At 45.4% G+C, this 16291-nt stretch overlaps 1 protein-coding gene across 1 annotated transcript in view; it reads right to left on the reverse strand.

Annotated features, from left to right (window-relative positions):
• Positions 1-10493, reverse strand: part of LOC124905977 (uncharacterized) — an 82330-nt gene extending 71837 nt beyond the window's left edge. Inside the window, exon 1 of the transcript XR_007086240.1 lies at positions 10102-10493. The gene's annotated coding sequence lies outside the window, so the exon portion shown is untranslated. The remainder of the gene's footprint in view (positions 1-10101) is intronic.
• Between the last annotated feature and the right edge of the window lie 5798 nt (positions 10494-16291).

Genomic DNA, 16291 nt, shown 5'->3' on the forward strand with positions numbered 1-16291 from the left:
AAAGCCAGGCCCTAAGAATTGTTAATTCCTGGCCACGGAGGGGCTCCGAGTTGGGGTCAGGTGTCACCTTCAGGCCTGTGCACCTGCCCACACCCTCTGAGACTGAGCAACTGGCTTAGTCAGGCCCACTACAGGGGCTCCAGGAGCCTGGCCTTTTCCAGAGGGGACATGTGGGACCTCTTTCCACAGAGAGGGAGAAGGATTCCCTCACTCTCCCCTTCTTTCTGCCACATGATGAGGTAGCCCTAGGGTCAGTAAAGCCACCCACTGGCAGGGATCAGCAAAGGAGCCCTGCTGGTGGCCACCTGGGTGTGTCTTCATCCTGGCCCAGCTCATGCGAGTCTTCAAGGGGTGGCTGTGGCTCCAGAGGCAGGTCCATTCACAGGGGCCAGCTCAGGGACTGCATTTGCTGTTCCAGCTGTGAAAGCAGGAAGTGCTTTCCTGGCCTCCACTCCCACTTAGCTTTCACTGAGTACCCACTGCATGCCAGACCTGGAGCTGGGGGCTGGGGGATCAGGGCAGACAGACAAGGAAGACACTCTGGGAAACACCAGGTCTGGTGGATTATAGGTGTTAGGTTTTATATGTGGCTGTACCTGGCTGGGTTTTTTGAGTACTTATTATGTGCCAGAAACCACAGTAAGCACTTAACATGTATGGTCTCATTTAATCCTCACTATTGAACTATGAAACTGTTACTGTTTCTACACCCATTGTATAGATGAGAAAACTGAGGCAGAGACCAGTGAAGAAGTCTATCTAAGGTGACAGAGTGTGTCAGTTGCTGCTCTGGAAAGCAGATGTCAAGCAAAGTTAGAAGTGCAAGAGATTTATTGGAAAAACAACTGTGAAAGACAACAGGGAGAGGGAAAGGGAGAAGCAGGAGGACTTTCAGACATCTGCAAAAGGATTGGCAGGAGGAAGAAAGATTGGGCAGAAAGGCCTGACTTTAATGCATATCTGAAAAAATCTCATGGCCCAACAGATAGCTCCAGTGCAAAGATTGCCTGCAGAGGGTCCCACACAGAGCTGAAATACCCAGGCCCCTGGAGTGCTGCTGTGCTCAGCTGTTGGCTGGGAGAAGCCCAGGGTGAGAGCAAGCTTGGCTCAAACACTGCAGAGGATCCCAAAGATGCAGTAGCTGGAGGCCATCAGCCAACTGCCCCACTCCAAGCTCCTTGACAACATCTGTCTTGCCTGGAGGTCTGAGTCCCCCTCCTGGGAAAGTGGCACACCAAGGAGCTGTGGCTCAAACCAGGTCTTGTGCTGACTTCAGAACCCATACTCTCATTCATTATGCTAAACAGACGAATTCACGGGTGATTATGTCTCTGACTGCTCTCTCCAAAACGTATTAGTCAGTCACCTAGCTGTATGGAGCCCTCACATATGCTTCTCTCCATGCGGTGTAAAGAGAAAGCCTGATTCCTACCTATAGGAGGTTCCAGCTGAGGAAGACAAGACTGAAAAAAAAAGGCACCAAGATGAACTGATCACAGTCTCTGCCTTCACAGAGGTCACCTTCTAGATGGATCCAGGAACCAGACAATTACAAAAGAGTGAGAGAAATGTATGTAAGAGAAAGTGTAAGGAAGGATGAGCCCTATCCCACCCCTGGCAGTTATGGAAGGCTTCCTCAAGGAAGGGGCTTCTTAATGGACTCCTGGGAGGTGAGTAGCCATTAGCTAGATGAAGAGGGGTAGATGAGGATAGGAGCATGTATATGTTTCCCAGTGGGAAGTGGTGGCAGTGGGGAGGGAAGGAAAGAAAAGAGAGCAAAGGGAATAGTATTTCTGACAGAAGGAACAGCCTCAGCAAAGGCCCATGAGGCAAGAGAAGGTGCAGTGCATTGTTCATGGAGCCACCAAATGTTCTGGAAGGCTGTGGATGAGAAGACAGCCTGGCTGGTGAGTAGCACTGCCTGCCCCACTAAGGCATTTGTCCCGAGGGCAGTGAAGGGAAATGCTGTAATTAAGCACTTAGCCATGTAGGGTAGATGCTCATTCCAGGGAGAGACCACTGAGGGCAGGCCAATCAGGGAAGGCTTTGAGGTATTGGGAGGACTTGAAAGATTATCAGCAAAAATGTCTCCCATCATGAGAGCTGATGGAGTCCTCATTAAGGTTCCCACAGTTATAATCCTCCAGAACTAAACCTGAACTTAATCAGGTGATGTGGGAAAATGAGAACTAAAAATAAAATTGTCACTTGATTCTATTCCTACATCTTCACCCTCCAGAGGGAAGTTTCTGAGGGATATAGGATCTTTCTGACCATGTTTTTAATAACACTTTTAGCCAAAATGTCCCCCCTCAAAAATTCAACTACCTGTTTGATGCCTGCTTTGACTTCTCTGATTAACCCTACTCACAGGGCAGCCTCCCTCTAATCCACATTGTTGTTCTTAAAATCTATTTTAGAATTTAAGTAGCCACAGCCTCAGCTCATCTCAAAGTTGTGGACAGTTAAGATTCCCCTGGGATCTCCAATTTCAACAGTTATCATTATTTATTGTATGTAAAAAACCATCCCAAACTTTGGGGCATACAAAAATCCTCTATTAATATTATTATTAATATATCTCTTGCAGTTTTGAGGGTTGACTGTGCTCAGCTAGTTGGTTTTCTGTCAGGATCTGCCATGCAGTTGTGGTCAGACAGAACTGGAGATCAAAGGCTTGCTCACTCAGATGTCTGGCAATTGATGCTGCAGCTCAAACTCCTACGTGTGGCCCCTCCCCAAGGCCCAGACTTCCCCAAAGCAAGTGTCCCTAAAAGAGGGAGAGCCAGTCCAAAACTGCATCAACCTTTAGGGCCTAACCCTGGATGTCCATAGCGTTGCTTCACCACATTCTATGAGTTGAAACAGTGGCAAAGACCCACCCAGGTTGAAGGTGAAGGGACACAGATTCTGCCTCTCAACAGTGGACTGGCAAGGTCACATTGCAAAAAGAGCGCGTGGGATGGAAGATATTGTTGTGGCATCTGTTGAAAATACAGTCTGCCAAGGTCACAACATCACTGCCACAACCACACTTCAAACCATTAACATTTTTTCCATGTGCAACGTGCCCCTGTGCTGGCCCCGGGATCCCCAAGTCCCACTGTAGCTGGCACCAGCTTGACATCCAGGATCTTTTCATCTAAACCAGGTCCAAATGCCAAGGAGACCCCACAGGTGTGGTTCTTCTTCCACAGGGCCTTAATCGATATGAAGACCTTTGAATGAGAGTGACATGTTATCTGCCCCCTACACACCCAACATTCAATGGTGGGATGAACATGACTACTATATACACTCCTGTTTAAAAAGAGGGAAAACTAGGCCCCCAGCAGTAACGGGATCGTAGTAATCTCTCAGCAGTTTCCTCCCTACATGTGCAATTGATTTGAAAGGCAAATGGTTGCATTAACTCTTGAATATTTTCACCTCATTCTAACTCAGAGTTGGTAACCCTTGGCCCTAGGGAATGGTAAATGGAAAGAAAGATTAGCCCATGGTAAAGGGGGAAATGAAGCATTGCTGTGGCTCCATTGTAGGCAATCTACTCCACACAGTCATGGAGCTCTGTCAGTTGGGGTGTTCTCACTACCACACTCTCCCTGGCCCAGGCTACAGGTGGCTGGGATTGGTTTTTCAATGGCAAATGACCCACAGAGCCAGTCTTATGTTTTCTCTACATAAGCTGGGACATAGACCTCTCTTTTGGTTCAGTGTTGGTGTCAAGCGGCAAGCACATGAGTCTGAGGCTGTCAGCAGCCATTTCTCCAACCCAGGGACAGAGCCGTCTGCAGAATAGAGCCAGCAGCAGTGGGGAGCAGAGACAAGGACTTCAGTGAGCAGAGCCTAATGATGTCATTTGAGCCAAGACTTTAATTCAACGATAAATCCCCCTATTTGCTTAAGATAGGTTAGGTTGGATTTTTGTCACTTGCATTGGAGAGTATCCTAATACACTCCCATTTTTCTCCCTAAGCTCTTTGCCCTGGCCTAAAGTCTAGCCTCCCATGGCCCCTCTACACCCTCCGTCAGGAAGAAAGACCCCCCTGAAGCACTTAAGTTCATCTTCTTGTCCCGGGGCATTCCCAAGTGGAGAGGGAAGGCTGCGTTTTCTTCCTCGGTCCTCCAGTCTTTCCAAACACTGGAGACAATTAGAAAGTAACAACACCTCACACAGAACAACTGCCTTCACTCAGACTCAAGCCTGTCCCCGTCTCCCTTCACTCACACTCCCAGTTGACCATAAGAGTGAACAATCTCCAAGGTGTGCACACGCTGCAGAGGGAAGTGCCAGGATGGTCTCACAAGAGAGTTGCACAACACTGGATGCAGACCACCCTGGACACTGCCCTGGCCAGAACCTACCAATCTCCCAGGGCCCTACCTATCAACTTTTCTCTTATATGACTTAGAACCTTCTGGTATCAATATGTTCAGCAGGAAATGGCTTTTTGATCACTGTAAAGTCCCTGCTGATTGTGAAGATTAGATCAGCTGTGGCCTGTAGGGCCCCCTCTTCCAAGATATTAATAACTGAGACTGCACTGGGGAGCGATTAGCAACGTTGAGCACCAGCCCACACTCCCAGCGTGGTCAGATTTCATGCATGCTAGACCTGTATAGAGCCAGGGGTCCCAGATGCAGGGGTCTGAGGAGGGAAGACTTTGAGCACAAGAGAGTGGGAAGAAAAGGAAGGTCAAAAGTGCAAGATGCAGCAGAAAAGGCTGAGACATGTCGTCTGATACCCTCCAAGCTCCACAGCTCTCCCATTCCACACTTTGAACCCACAGCAACCTACCTATGAGGCATGACCCAGGTGAGGATAATAATTTTCAACCTTCTTCCAGCCCCTAAACATATGTCATTTATTTGCGTGGACACTCCCCTGGGCCACAGGCTGCAGCACAGCTGAAATTCACTGTGGCCACACCTCCTTCTAGCCTGTGGTGTAACTCCATCCCTTTCCATTCTACCCAGGAAAGCTATTGTACACTTCACTTCAGTAACCACCATTAGTAACAACCCACCTGTGGCTCAGCCCCCAGCAGCTCCAGATGGTGAACATGGAAGGCATCACCCTTTCAACTGTGGACTCAACCAGCTGACAGTACGGTCCACTATCAGACTCAAGGCCTGCCGCACATTTATTCCAGTAACACCTCCCTTCTGGTGTGGCCTTTAAGCCCTCTTAACATCATCCCACTGTGGTACATCTACAGCCTTAAGTTGACAGTGGACCCCTATACATTTAAAAGCCTGTTTCCAGACAGCGCCCAGTGGACTCCCTCGACAATCCTGTGAGGTGGGGTTTGCTATCATCATGATTCCCTGCAGATTCATTTACTTGTTGAGGACTTGTTACGTACCAGACATGGTTCTAATAGTGAATAGAACAAAGACCTCAGTCCTCAGGGAGCTTAAATTCTAGTGGAGGAATAAAGACATTAAAATAAAAGCATAATAAATATGTAGTATTACTTATATAAGAAGGTAATGAGTGCTACAGAAAATATGAGAGAACAGGGCAAGGTAAAACGGAGATGATGTGCATGGAGGATGGGGAAGTTTCCAAGATTAAACAGGGTGGTCAGGGTCTGCCTCATTGAAAACATTGAGATTTGCACAAACACTAGAAGAAAGTTGGTGAGCAAGCCAAAGGGCATGAGGGGACAGTATTCCAGGCACAGGGGACTGCCAGAGCACAGGCCCCGCAGTAGACCATGCTTGGAAGCTATGAGGAGCAGTAAGCAGGCCACAGTGACAGGGACAGAGTGAGCAGGGGGAGGCCAGTGGACAGGAGACTGGAAAGAAACAGACAAAGCCAACCAGAGGGAGGACTTGCCACCTAAGGCCAGAAGTACAAGACACCCTCGTGAATCAGGTCGGACACAGGCCTCTCACTTTGAGCCCAGGTGCTTTCTCTGCAGATTTGAGGCAAACAGGCCTTCTTGTTCCCAGTAGCCCTTCATTCCCCACCACCAGGCCACCACCCAGCAGAAGGGCAGCCCCCAGAGGTTATTTACTACCCTTGGTCACCCAAGGGAGCTATCCTGCCTCACCCCTGCACCTGCCTGTGCCCCACTGGCAAGAGAGCTGACGACAAGGAAGAACCAAATTAAAGAACCCCCCAGTAATCAGAGGGACTCTCCTTTCCTTATCCAGGGCCCAGAAACCTCTGATTATAGATCCAAGCTCCTGGGATCTCCCAATCAAAAGCTGGCATGCACGAGGCAGGGGCAAGCCAGGCCCAGGACTTTGTGGTCTCACATCCTACACTGCCAGGGCCCAGCGGCCATCTGGCTGGGCTTTCCATGGACAATCAGACAGCAGGCAGCCGATACTGGGACTGCCAGGGCACTGGGGCCACAGGAGGCATCTGAGGCAAAGCTCCCCAGCTGCTCAGACATAACCAAATCGGGCCTTTGCAAGGAGGGGGAAGAGTGCATTACCAAGCCTGACGTGCCAAGAGCTCCTTGGATCCACTCCGCCTCCCATGCCTCACCCTCTCCTGGGCTCAGCATGTTAGAGCTAAATGGCTCTATTTATTGCCATCCAAGGTTTTGCTTGGTGGGGCCCAGCGTGGCTGACCTCAGCCAGCAGTGACAAGTGGCCATACTCAGTCGGCAGACACCAACTTTGCCGCCATCTTTCAGCATCCCCACTTTCCCCTTTCTCACACACAAATGTCTGCAGAGCTGTGGGCAGACCAGAGCCCTGAACAACTCACAGAGGCAAGAGGCCTGGTGGATGGTGCTTAGATGAATCATAGGGATGACGGCAAAATCACTCATTTTCTCTGGACCTCAGTTCCCCTTCTTATAAAATGATAGACCTGAAAAGCAATGATCATACAACTCTTAGAGACAATTGAGTACTCCATTTTGAGGGCAAGGAAGGACTTTGAATCACAAAGAAGAACTGATGAAATTCAGAGACCTAGATCTGAATTGCTGTGCAGATGTTGCTGCAAGAAATGAGAGGGGCTGAGAAAGATAGGGGACCTCCCCAGGATTGCCCTCTGGCTTAGACTTCCAGTAGATGCAGAATATTGGACTAAAACACAGATCTGAGACTGGAGCTAGAAATAAAGACATGGCGATTTCCATGCCAAACAATGAAGTAACAGATGGGGCAAGAGGGCAAGACAGTGGAGCTCCAGGGTGCGTCTCTTCCTTCTGCAGATCTGGAGCCCCCATGCCTGGGGTTCTATTTCAGCAGATCATCAGGAGCACCAGGAGCACAGCTGCCAGAGAAAGTGTCAAACCAAGGAGTCCCCCCAGGTGGAAGAGGGTCAACAGTAAGGCAGCTGAGCAGAGAAACAGGAGTCTGTACCTCCAGCTTCTCAGTTGACTGAAAGGAAAATGCTGGAAAAGATTGACCTTTGGTGCATGGATTCAGAGTCTGGTTTTGTACATGTCTGAATTTAGACCAGAAATCAGGAAAAAGGTCAGACAGAGGGGAGACACATATTTGGGAGATGTTTGCAAAGAAAGATGTAGAGAAAGGATTGGAGTAGATGACAGAGAAAAAATTGAAAGGGCATATTGGAGAATCTTGGAGAATGTCTGCATTTAGGAGTTGAGAGAAGGAAGAGTAGCCAGAAAGGGAGGCAAAGAAGGGGTGTCGAGGGAGGTAGGAAGCATCAGGGTTGCATGGAAGTAGGGTCGTCATGAGTGCTGTTGATCAAACAGTCTGTCTGCCCCACCAGGAGCACAGCAGAACTGGAATTCCTGACTCCCTGCAATGGTTAGTGGAAATATATGACTTTTTTAGCCAATGAGTCATGAGTGAAAGTGATATCTCACTTCTATGTGGCACATTTGAGAGTCTCCTTCTTCTTTCCCTCTACTACGATGACCATGAATGTTCCAGCAGTGGCTGGACTGTGGGTCCAGGCCACTTAGGAGTGAGAAATCAACCTCTGTTGCATCAAGACACTGGGGTAATTGTTTGTATCTGCAGCACGACCTAGCATTTTCTGACTCATTAACCAATGGCAGGTTTCTAGAAGGAAGAAAGTGACCCACAGGGAGACTGAGGACTGGAAAACAGTGTTGAGTTTGGCAAACAAGTGGATCTTAGTGACCTTCAAACTTGGAGGTTAGAAGCAAGAGCCAGACTGCAAGGCATTAAGGAATGAAATACTGATGACAGAAAATGAAGATGTCTCTTTTAAATATTTTGGAGAATGTCAGAAAAGAAGGGGGTTAACATGAGGGCCAGCAGGGAGGGGGGAAAAGCTTCAGCTTTTATTCCTAAGATAAACCAGTGGAAAAAAAAGGGGATGATATCAATGGTGACCTGATTTGCCCAAGCTCATGACTGCTCTGTCCAGTTAGGAAGCAAGAGAAGCGGGAAACTAGATCTCCCATTCTGCAAGTTTCCCTTTCCTTGTTCCATATCACTCTAGGAATTGACCAAGGGTCAGTGGACACAGCTGACACTGGCAAGAGTTGGGAAAATGAGAGGGAGGCTCTTGGGAAGAAGTAGTAAGGGGATGGTGGGGAGAGAGAGAAAAATCAGTGGAAAAATGATCAGTCTACAGGAAATAGGGAAGTTCAGGAGCCCCTAGGGATTGACCTCTATGAGGTGGGTTTCTATATTCATTGAATGGGGCTAACCCTTAGGGCACGGGGTCATGGAGAAGATCAGAGAAGATGATGCATGCATAGCAATGCATTACAAACTTCAAAGCTCCATGCAAATGTGATGGGATATTGGCTGATCATCACTGTTGGGGGTGTCTTTACACAGAGAATCTGTTGCCCCTGGTTGCTACCAATAAGGCTGCACTCCCAAATCAGGCACTGTGGCTTACTGATGGAATAACCTCAGGTTCACACCAGCAGCACACACAGTTCTTGCACACTCTAGTGTAAACCAAGATAAGAGACCTGGATCTCGCTGAGTGATCCTGGGTTAGTCACCCCTCCTTTCTAGGTCCCAATGTTAGATGCACCAAATGGGAGAAATGGGACAAACAATCTCTAAGAGGCCGCCCAGCTCTGACATTTTAAGATGCAGGGATTCAATTAGATCTCCAGCTAGTCTATACTTCTCATATAAATGAAACATAAAACTATTTGTAGTTAATTAAACTTGAAACAGTTACTATAGCATTAATTAGATGAACAGACATACATACATACACACACAGACACACACACACGCAAAACAATAACTGTTGAATGATATTTTGGATCTTTAATTCCTTTGATCAGTTCTAAGATCAGCTACACACATACTTTGGCCACATTAAAACCCTTTTACTGCCAACTAAGGCTCCAGCTGAGCCAGCCAGCAACAATGTGCCCTCTTCCTGGCCAGCTGAGAGCCCCTGCCCTGTGTCTGCCTCCACCAGCCATAGGGCTCCAGCTGTCAGTTGCCTTGAAAGGGCACACATCCTCAGTCTGCCCACATGTCGTAGCCCACCCCATGATGAAGAGGGTGTATTACTGAAGCAAAACACATAAAATCAACACGTGAGCCTGTGCTCATCCTGACTTCATCACTGCCACCAAAGACAAATGCTAAGCTCCATGAAGAGAAAGTCTAAGCTCTGACCTGCTTCAGTCCTGCCCATCAATACCCTCAGTAGAAAGTCAAACCTGAGATATCCTGGGGAGGCTGATACTCAAGAAACCTCCCCCAGCTTCTCCCATCTGTGTGTGAACCAATCAATCAATCAATCAATCTCTCTCTCTCTCTCTCTCTCACACACACACACACACACACACACACACACACACACCAGCAATGACCACCAGGAGGTGCTGGCCACAGTTCTTAGAGCTGATCCCCTGGGCTGGGTGTGATTAATCCCTCTTCTTTCCATGGCCTAAATGGGACCAGACAAGCTTAAAGACTTGGTCATAAATTAGCCCATGCACAGGATAATGGAATCAAGTTCCACTGAAAGCAGAATCTAGGCCCTACCGCCTCTCTGGTCCAGCATGACTTTGCAGCCCGGCAAAAGAAGAGCATGTCTGGTTTTCAAGCAACTGGGTCTGGGACTCTCATTTTCACATCCAGTTTGAGTTGGTTATGGTCTTCCATGAAAAGTAAAATGCCACGCCAAGCCCGCCCCACCTCCAAACCTACCTGACACCTTTCCCCTCCTGCCTTGCAGTTGACAGCCATGCAACCCCAATGGTGTTGTGGTGGGCCTCACTTAATCCTTGAGTGGAAGGAGCAAGGCCTGGGGACAGGAAGGGGTCCTTAAAAAGTCATCAGATCTAGGAGGCAGCTCTGCCTGTCCTAAGAGGTGTGCTCTCCACCAGCTCCTCCAGAATTCTGAGACCACATCGTTCCACCCACAATTACCTGAGGAGGTGCAGGGGATGATGGGACACAGGGGCCCCTGCAGACCACAATCTGTGAGTTTGCTGCTAAGTGTTCCCATTCAACAGTATGAGAACATTTACAGTCTGAACTAAGCAATGCATCATGAATTCAACAGTGTCCTGCTGCATCTCACAGCATTCTGCCTTGGCCAGACCCCTTCTGCTGCATGTCACTTATATCTTCTTACCACTGTGTAGAAGCCCTGGGCTCATGCTCAGGAAGCCTGGGTTCTTGTCTTAGTTCTTTCACATCTGCACAATGTTGGGCAATTTTTTTTACTCCTCTGAACATTAGTTTTCCGCTCTCTAAGATGAGATGAGCACTACTTACTGCTGGCCCTCCCTGCTCTAGTGTTGTGGTCTAGAGTCCTGGGTCCTCTACCAGACACTTCCCTGTATAAACTTACTCCAAGGGCCAAATTTTATAGGCATAGAGAGAACATTGCAAAAGCAGGGGAACTGCAGGAGTACAGAAGGTCCTGGCCTTTATCATTGCCCTGGTTCCCCACCAGAGTCCTAGAAATTCCACGGTAAGAGACTCAAGTCCCAGAGCAGGGTGCTTCCTCCTCACCCAGACCCTGCCTTCAAATGGCACCTCCACCAGAAAGGGAAATACCTGGGTAACTTTTATTCACCCATCTCTGTCTCTTACTGGACAAGGCTAAACTCCTTCATCTACAATTTAAAGTCTTCCAGAATCTGACCTCAATCTACTCTTTCATCTTTATGTCTCATCTTGCCCCGGATGCACCTTTAGCCCCAGACACAGCGAAGGACTCACTCTTTCCTGAACTTAACTTGCCATCTAATCTTTTGTAGAGAGAATGTCAGTAATGCCAACTACAGATCAATCTACCCATTCATTAAAGAATGTCCCTACAGACTTCCACACAGCAGTTCAAAGCCTAGGTCAATCTGCTACTTGTTAATAATTCTTAAAATGAATAAACACATATTTCTTCAAACCCAAGTTTTCACTGCTTACTGCTGGCCCTCCCTGCCCTAGTGCTATGGGCTGAATTGTTTCCCCCCTCCCTCAATTCATATATTGAAGTCCTAACACCCAGCACCTCAGAATGTGACAGAATTTAGGAGATAAGGTCTTGAAAGAGGCAGTTAAGTTAAAATGAGGTCCTTAGAGTGGGACTTAGTCCAATATGACTGGTGTCCTTATAATAAGAGAAAATTTGGACACAGACATGCACACGTACAAGGAAAAGTCCATGTAAAGACACAGGAAGAAGACAGCTACCTTCAAGCCAAAGAGAGAAGGCTCAGAATGAAATTAAACCTGCTGACCCCTTGATCTTGGAATTCTAACCTCCAGAATCATGAAAAAATACATTTCTATTCTTGAAGCCATCCAGTCTGTGGTACTTTGTTATGGCAGCCCTAGCAAGCTAATGCACCTAGTGTCTTGTCCTTCTACCTAGCCAGCCCAAATATGAGTCACAGAACATCAGAATGGAAAGAGCCTCAGATTGTTGAGTCCAACATCCTGTTTTTCAGACAGGCACAGGGAGGCCCAATAAAAGGAAGAGATTGATCAAGGTCACATAGGAGGTGGTGGCTGAGCCTCCACCCAGGGCTGGTTTGGTCATAAAACACTGAGTCCTGGGGAAACAAGTTGGGATGCACTGAACTGCCTGAGCTGAGCAAACACACAGATAATTCCCCATGGAACTCTGCCCTACACATATCAAGTTTGAATATAAGTGCTAGACACACAGGCCTTGATTTCCCAACTCTGTCCAGAGATGGCTATCTCCACAAACCCTGCATAAGCCCACAGTGACCCGAGAGTGCACAGTGGGTCTTCCTTGGCTGGCACCAGAAATCAGCTTAATATAACCTAGCGCCATTTGAGAGGGCATGAAAGGAAAATGAAGGGGGAAGGAGGAGATCTACTGTAGTCCAGACTTGCCCCTGAACCCCGAAACCTCCTGCTGAAAGTCAGGCTGCCTTCATAAGTGGTAAATCTTAATTCCATTTTTCATCACTAGCTCAACATTTACTAGTATCGTATTGTTGTATTTGTAGTATTTGCTGAGTGAGTGAGATTCAGAGATACTGCATGAAGTCAGTGCTCCGGAAGGTTAAGGAGAGAGGAGATCCCTTTAGACCAGGTAATCAGATGTGACTTTCTGGGGAGGCTAAAACTTGAGCCGGCCATTGAAGGATAGGTGGAGCATGGAGAAAAATAGTCATTCCAGAGAGGCAGCAGCCCCAGGGTCAGATTTCATTTCAGGCTTCTACTGCGTCACTGAATTTGTTTCCCCAAACAAATCTGTGCTGGTTTGGAATTTTATCCACAGTAATGAACATTGACAAATGTAGTTTAAGGGACCAGGGTAGAAAGAGAAGTCACAGTCCTTGCTACAAAGAGTGTACAATCGGAATGAGAAGATCAAGCTTTCTTTTTTATTATTTTTGAGACAGTCTGGCTCTGTGGCTTAGGTTGGAGTGCAGTGGCACCATCTCGGCTCACTGCAACCTCTGCCTCCTGGGTTCAAGAGATTCATATACCTCAGCCTCCTGAGGAGCTGGGATTACAGGTGCATGCCACCACACCCAATTAATTTTTTGTATTTTTATCAGAGACAGGGTTTCACTATGCTGGCCAGGCTTGTCTTGAACTCCTGGCCTCAAGTGATCCACCCTCGTCGTCCTCCCAAAGGATTACAGGCATGAAACCACTGTGCCTGGCCCAAGCTTCCCTTTTGAAGTCAAGCTCATGGGCCATGACTAGCTCTTTTCAGCAGTGGCTTGGGGGTCTGAAAACAATCACTGGACTATTTGAAACTCTTCACCACCTTCCAGGATTCCTGAACGTTTAGGGGCAGCATTTATTAAGGAATAAGGGAAGAAACACCTCCAGGCTCACCTTCAGAGTGAAGACCAGGCACTGAAAGTGGACTCCTCCTGAAGACACATCCACAGCACTGCAGTAACACTAGTAAGCTGCCTGAACCTGGCCTTCTTGATTGTGTTTTCTGTGAGTTCCTGTCAACAGGGGCTGACCATATGAGGGTCAGGTCCACAGCTTAGCTCTCCCTCTGCTAGTTCCTGAGCAAAACTTGTGTTTCAACCAGGGTTTTACAGCCTGTCTAGCTCTGAACACCTTCATTATCCATCTGTCCAAGTTTAGGTGGTATGAACTGGTACCTGAATGACAAAGATCTTTTTTGGAGGTTGGAGAGGCTGAATGTTGACCATAAACTAGAATTGTTTGTCTTCCAAACTCTATGGGTTCATCCTGATAATCCGAAACACTTGTCTCCTTTGTGCATAAACTGGATTGAAATATTTTTAGAGTTCTCAATCAAGATGTATTTTTTTAGGGGTGGGCAACAGTTGATTTTATAAATATATTTTCATTCTCCCTTGTTGTGAAGTAAACAGTATTCCCATTACTATGTTTATTATGTGGCTAAATGAAAAGTAATAGGATTGAGTCTAGGCTGGGACAATGCCACCCCCAGGTATGAGGGCCTGTTTTTGCCTATGGAGAGAGGGGCACCCTCACACTGGACACCAGGAAGGAAGGAAAGAGGGCCAAGGGCAGGCTCAGAGTGCCTTTCACACGTGTGGCCTTGGCCACAAGAACTTTGAAATGTCTAAGAGGGAATTTCAATATTAAAACAGAATCTTCTGGTTGGAGTTTGCCCAGAACTAGAAAATAAAAACTTCTGGCAAGATGTCTGAAAAACTAATAGCCCTTTAGGACTAGAAGGTAGATGTTACGGATCAGAGACTATGAACTCGGAGAATGTGATGCAGGAGGAGCCATGGCTTGTTGAATTTTCTATGCTATTTTTCCCTGTTCTCCTTTAGTAATCCATTACTGTCTTTAGAACTGTCTAGCCTGCCTCAGCTGCTCCAAAGAAAATCAGGATAAACTTAATTAAAGTCCATGGCCAGAGTGCTCTGTAGGAGCAGCTATGTTTATTGCCATGAACATCTTGATAAAATAGACAATTTTCTAGGAAGATGAAAGATTGACTCAAGAACTATTAACCATGCTGAGAAAAATTGTGGACAAATTATCTCTACAAAAGGCTCTGAGCTCAGACAGTTTTACGAATGAGTGCTTTCAGATTGTTATAGAGCAGAGAAAAAAGATGGAAAGCTTTCCAATCTCTTTTTTAAGGGATAATTTCATGACAAAACCTGGCAAAGATAATATACAAATGAATACATATATAACATTATATGATGTATAAGTAATACACACACAGACCAATGTTAATTATGTATTCATTTTTCATTTGAGATTTTTGCTATACCATGTACTGGAGTATGCTATATACTTATATTCAAGTATATAATATAGAAAAAATGTATTCCTCAAGTATTAACATATACTGCATACTTGAGTATATAGTATGGCAAAAATCCCAAATGAAAAATTATGCTAATACTAGGGTATATACTAATACTATATATATGCTATATGTTATATACTATAGTATATAATACCATATACTCAAATATATAGTATAGCAAAAATATATGCTCAAGGATAGAGTATAGCAAAATCCCAAATGAAAAACTAATAAATTCAGGAGATATTCAAAGAATAATTTAATATGACTAATATTGTATTTATCCCTGGAATTCAATGATGACTTTAGATATGGAAGTATGTAATAGTCTACATCAATCTGTCACAGAACAAAAGCCATAAGATCATCCTAATAGATCTAAAGATACAGATTTTTTAATGTAATACATTATGTGGATTAGAAAAAAAAACGTAGCAAACAGGAAGACAGGATTTTACACTTGTAATCAACTTCCTGTTCATGGCGAAACAATAGGTACATGTCTACCAAAATTAGAAACAAAGCAAGTAAGACTTCTAGCCCTACCATGATTATATAGTTTCTATTTCTAGTCAATAACCTGAAACAGAAAAGTAATATTTTTTAAAAGTCAGGAAATCAAAATATCATTATTTATAGACAATATCCTAGTCTGCCAAAAAAAAAAAAAATTCAAGAGAAAACTACCAGAACTAATAGGATTTTAGTAAGGTGGGCAATAAGTTAAAAATATACGCATCTATAGATGATTATATACCAGAAGTAGCTAGTTTAAAAATACAGGTGGGGGGAAAAGATTATATTTAAAGTGAAATAACAATATTAATAATAAACCTAAAAATAATCTTCATGAAAAAACACACCAGTTCTATTAAAAAGATTATTTAAAATTTATTGTGAGACATACAAGCAGACTTGAAGAAATATCATGTTCCCTGTAGAAACATTAAGTTTTTTTTTTTTCAAATTCTTTCTCAAATACTTTTTGAAAAGAAGAATTGTATACGACAGGAGGGGAAGAGCAAGGCCTGCAGGACTGCTCTAACAGGTACTGTACACCCTCATGCTGGAAGCATTCAAGAACACAGAGGAGCACAGCCCCACCCAGCCATGTCCACGTGTAAAGATCTAATGTCCCAGAGAGAGGAAAATATGCAAGCTTTAGAAACATGACAGAATATGAAGCATGAGAGTACTTGATGTCAGCTTTGGAAATTGTGAAACTTAAGTTTTCTTTGTTCTGGGACTGTTCAAAAATCACTAATTATTCATAAAGGTAGGAAATAAGACTGTGAGTGCCATCTCATGGAGAAAGACACCAATACGGTGTTCAAGTCACTTTTGTCACGGTTATTCCCAATCATGTAAACTTATGGCATCTGACATGGTACAAAGCCACAATAATAAAAACAGTAGGGAGCTGCAATCAGAGTTGTGAATTAAATCACTCGACAGGCTATACAGCTCCAAACATATGAATAGAGAGATTCATTATTTTATAAAATAAATGTATTATTTCATAAAAGGAGCATTATTCATCAGGGAGGAGAGGAAGAATTAATGGTTAAAGCATTAACTAAAGTAAATGGTTTATTTTGAGGGGGAGAATAAATTCTGAACTCA

This window comes from Homo sapiens, chromosome 2 (genome assembly GCF_000001405.40).
Source record: "Homo sapiens chromosome 2, GRCh38.p14 Primary Assembly".
Taxonomy (NCBI): Eukaryota; Metazoa; Chordata; class Mammalia; order Primates; family Hominidae; genus Homo; species Homo sapiens.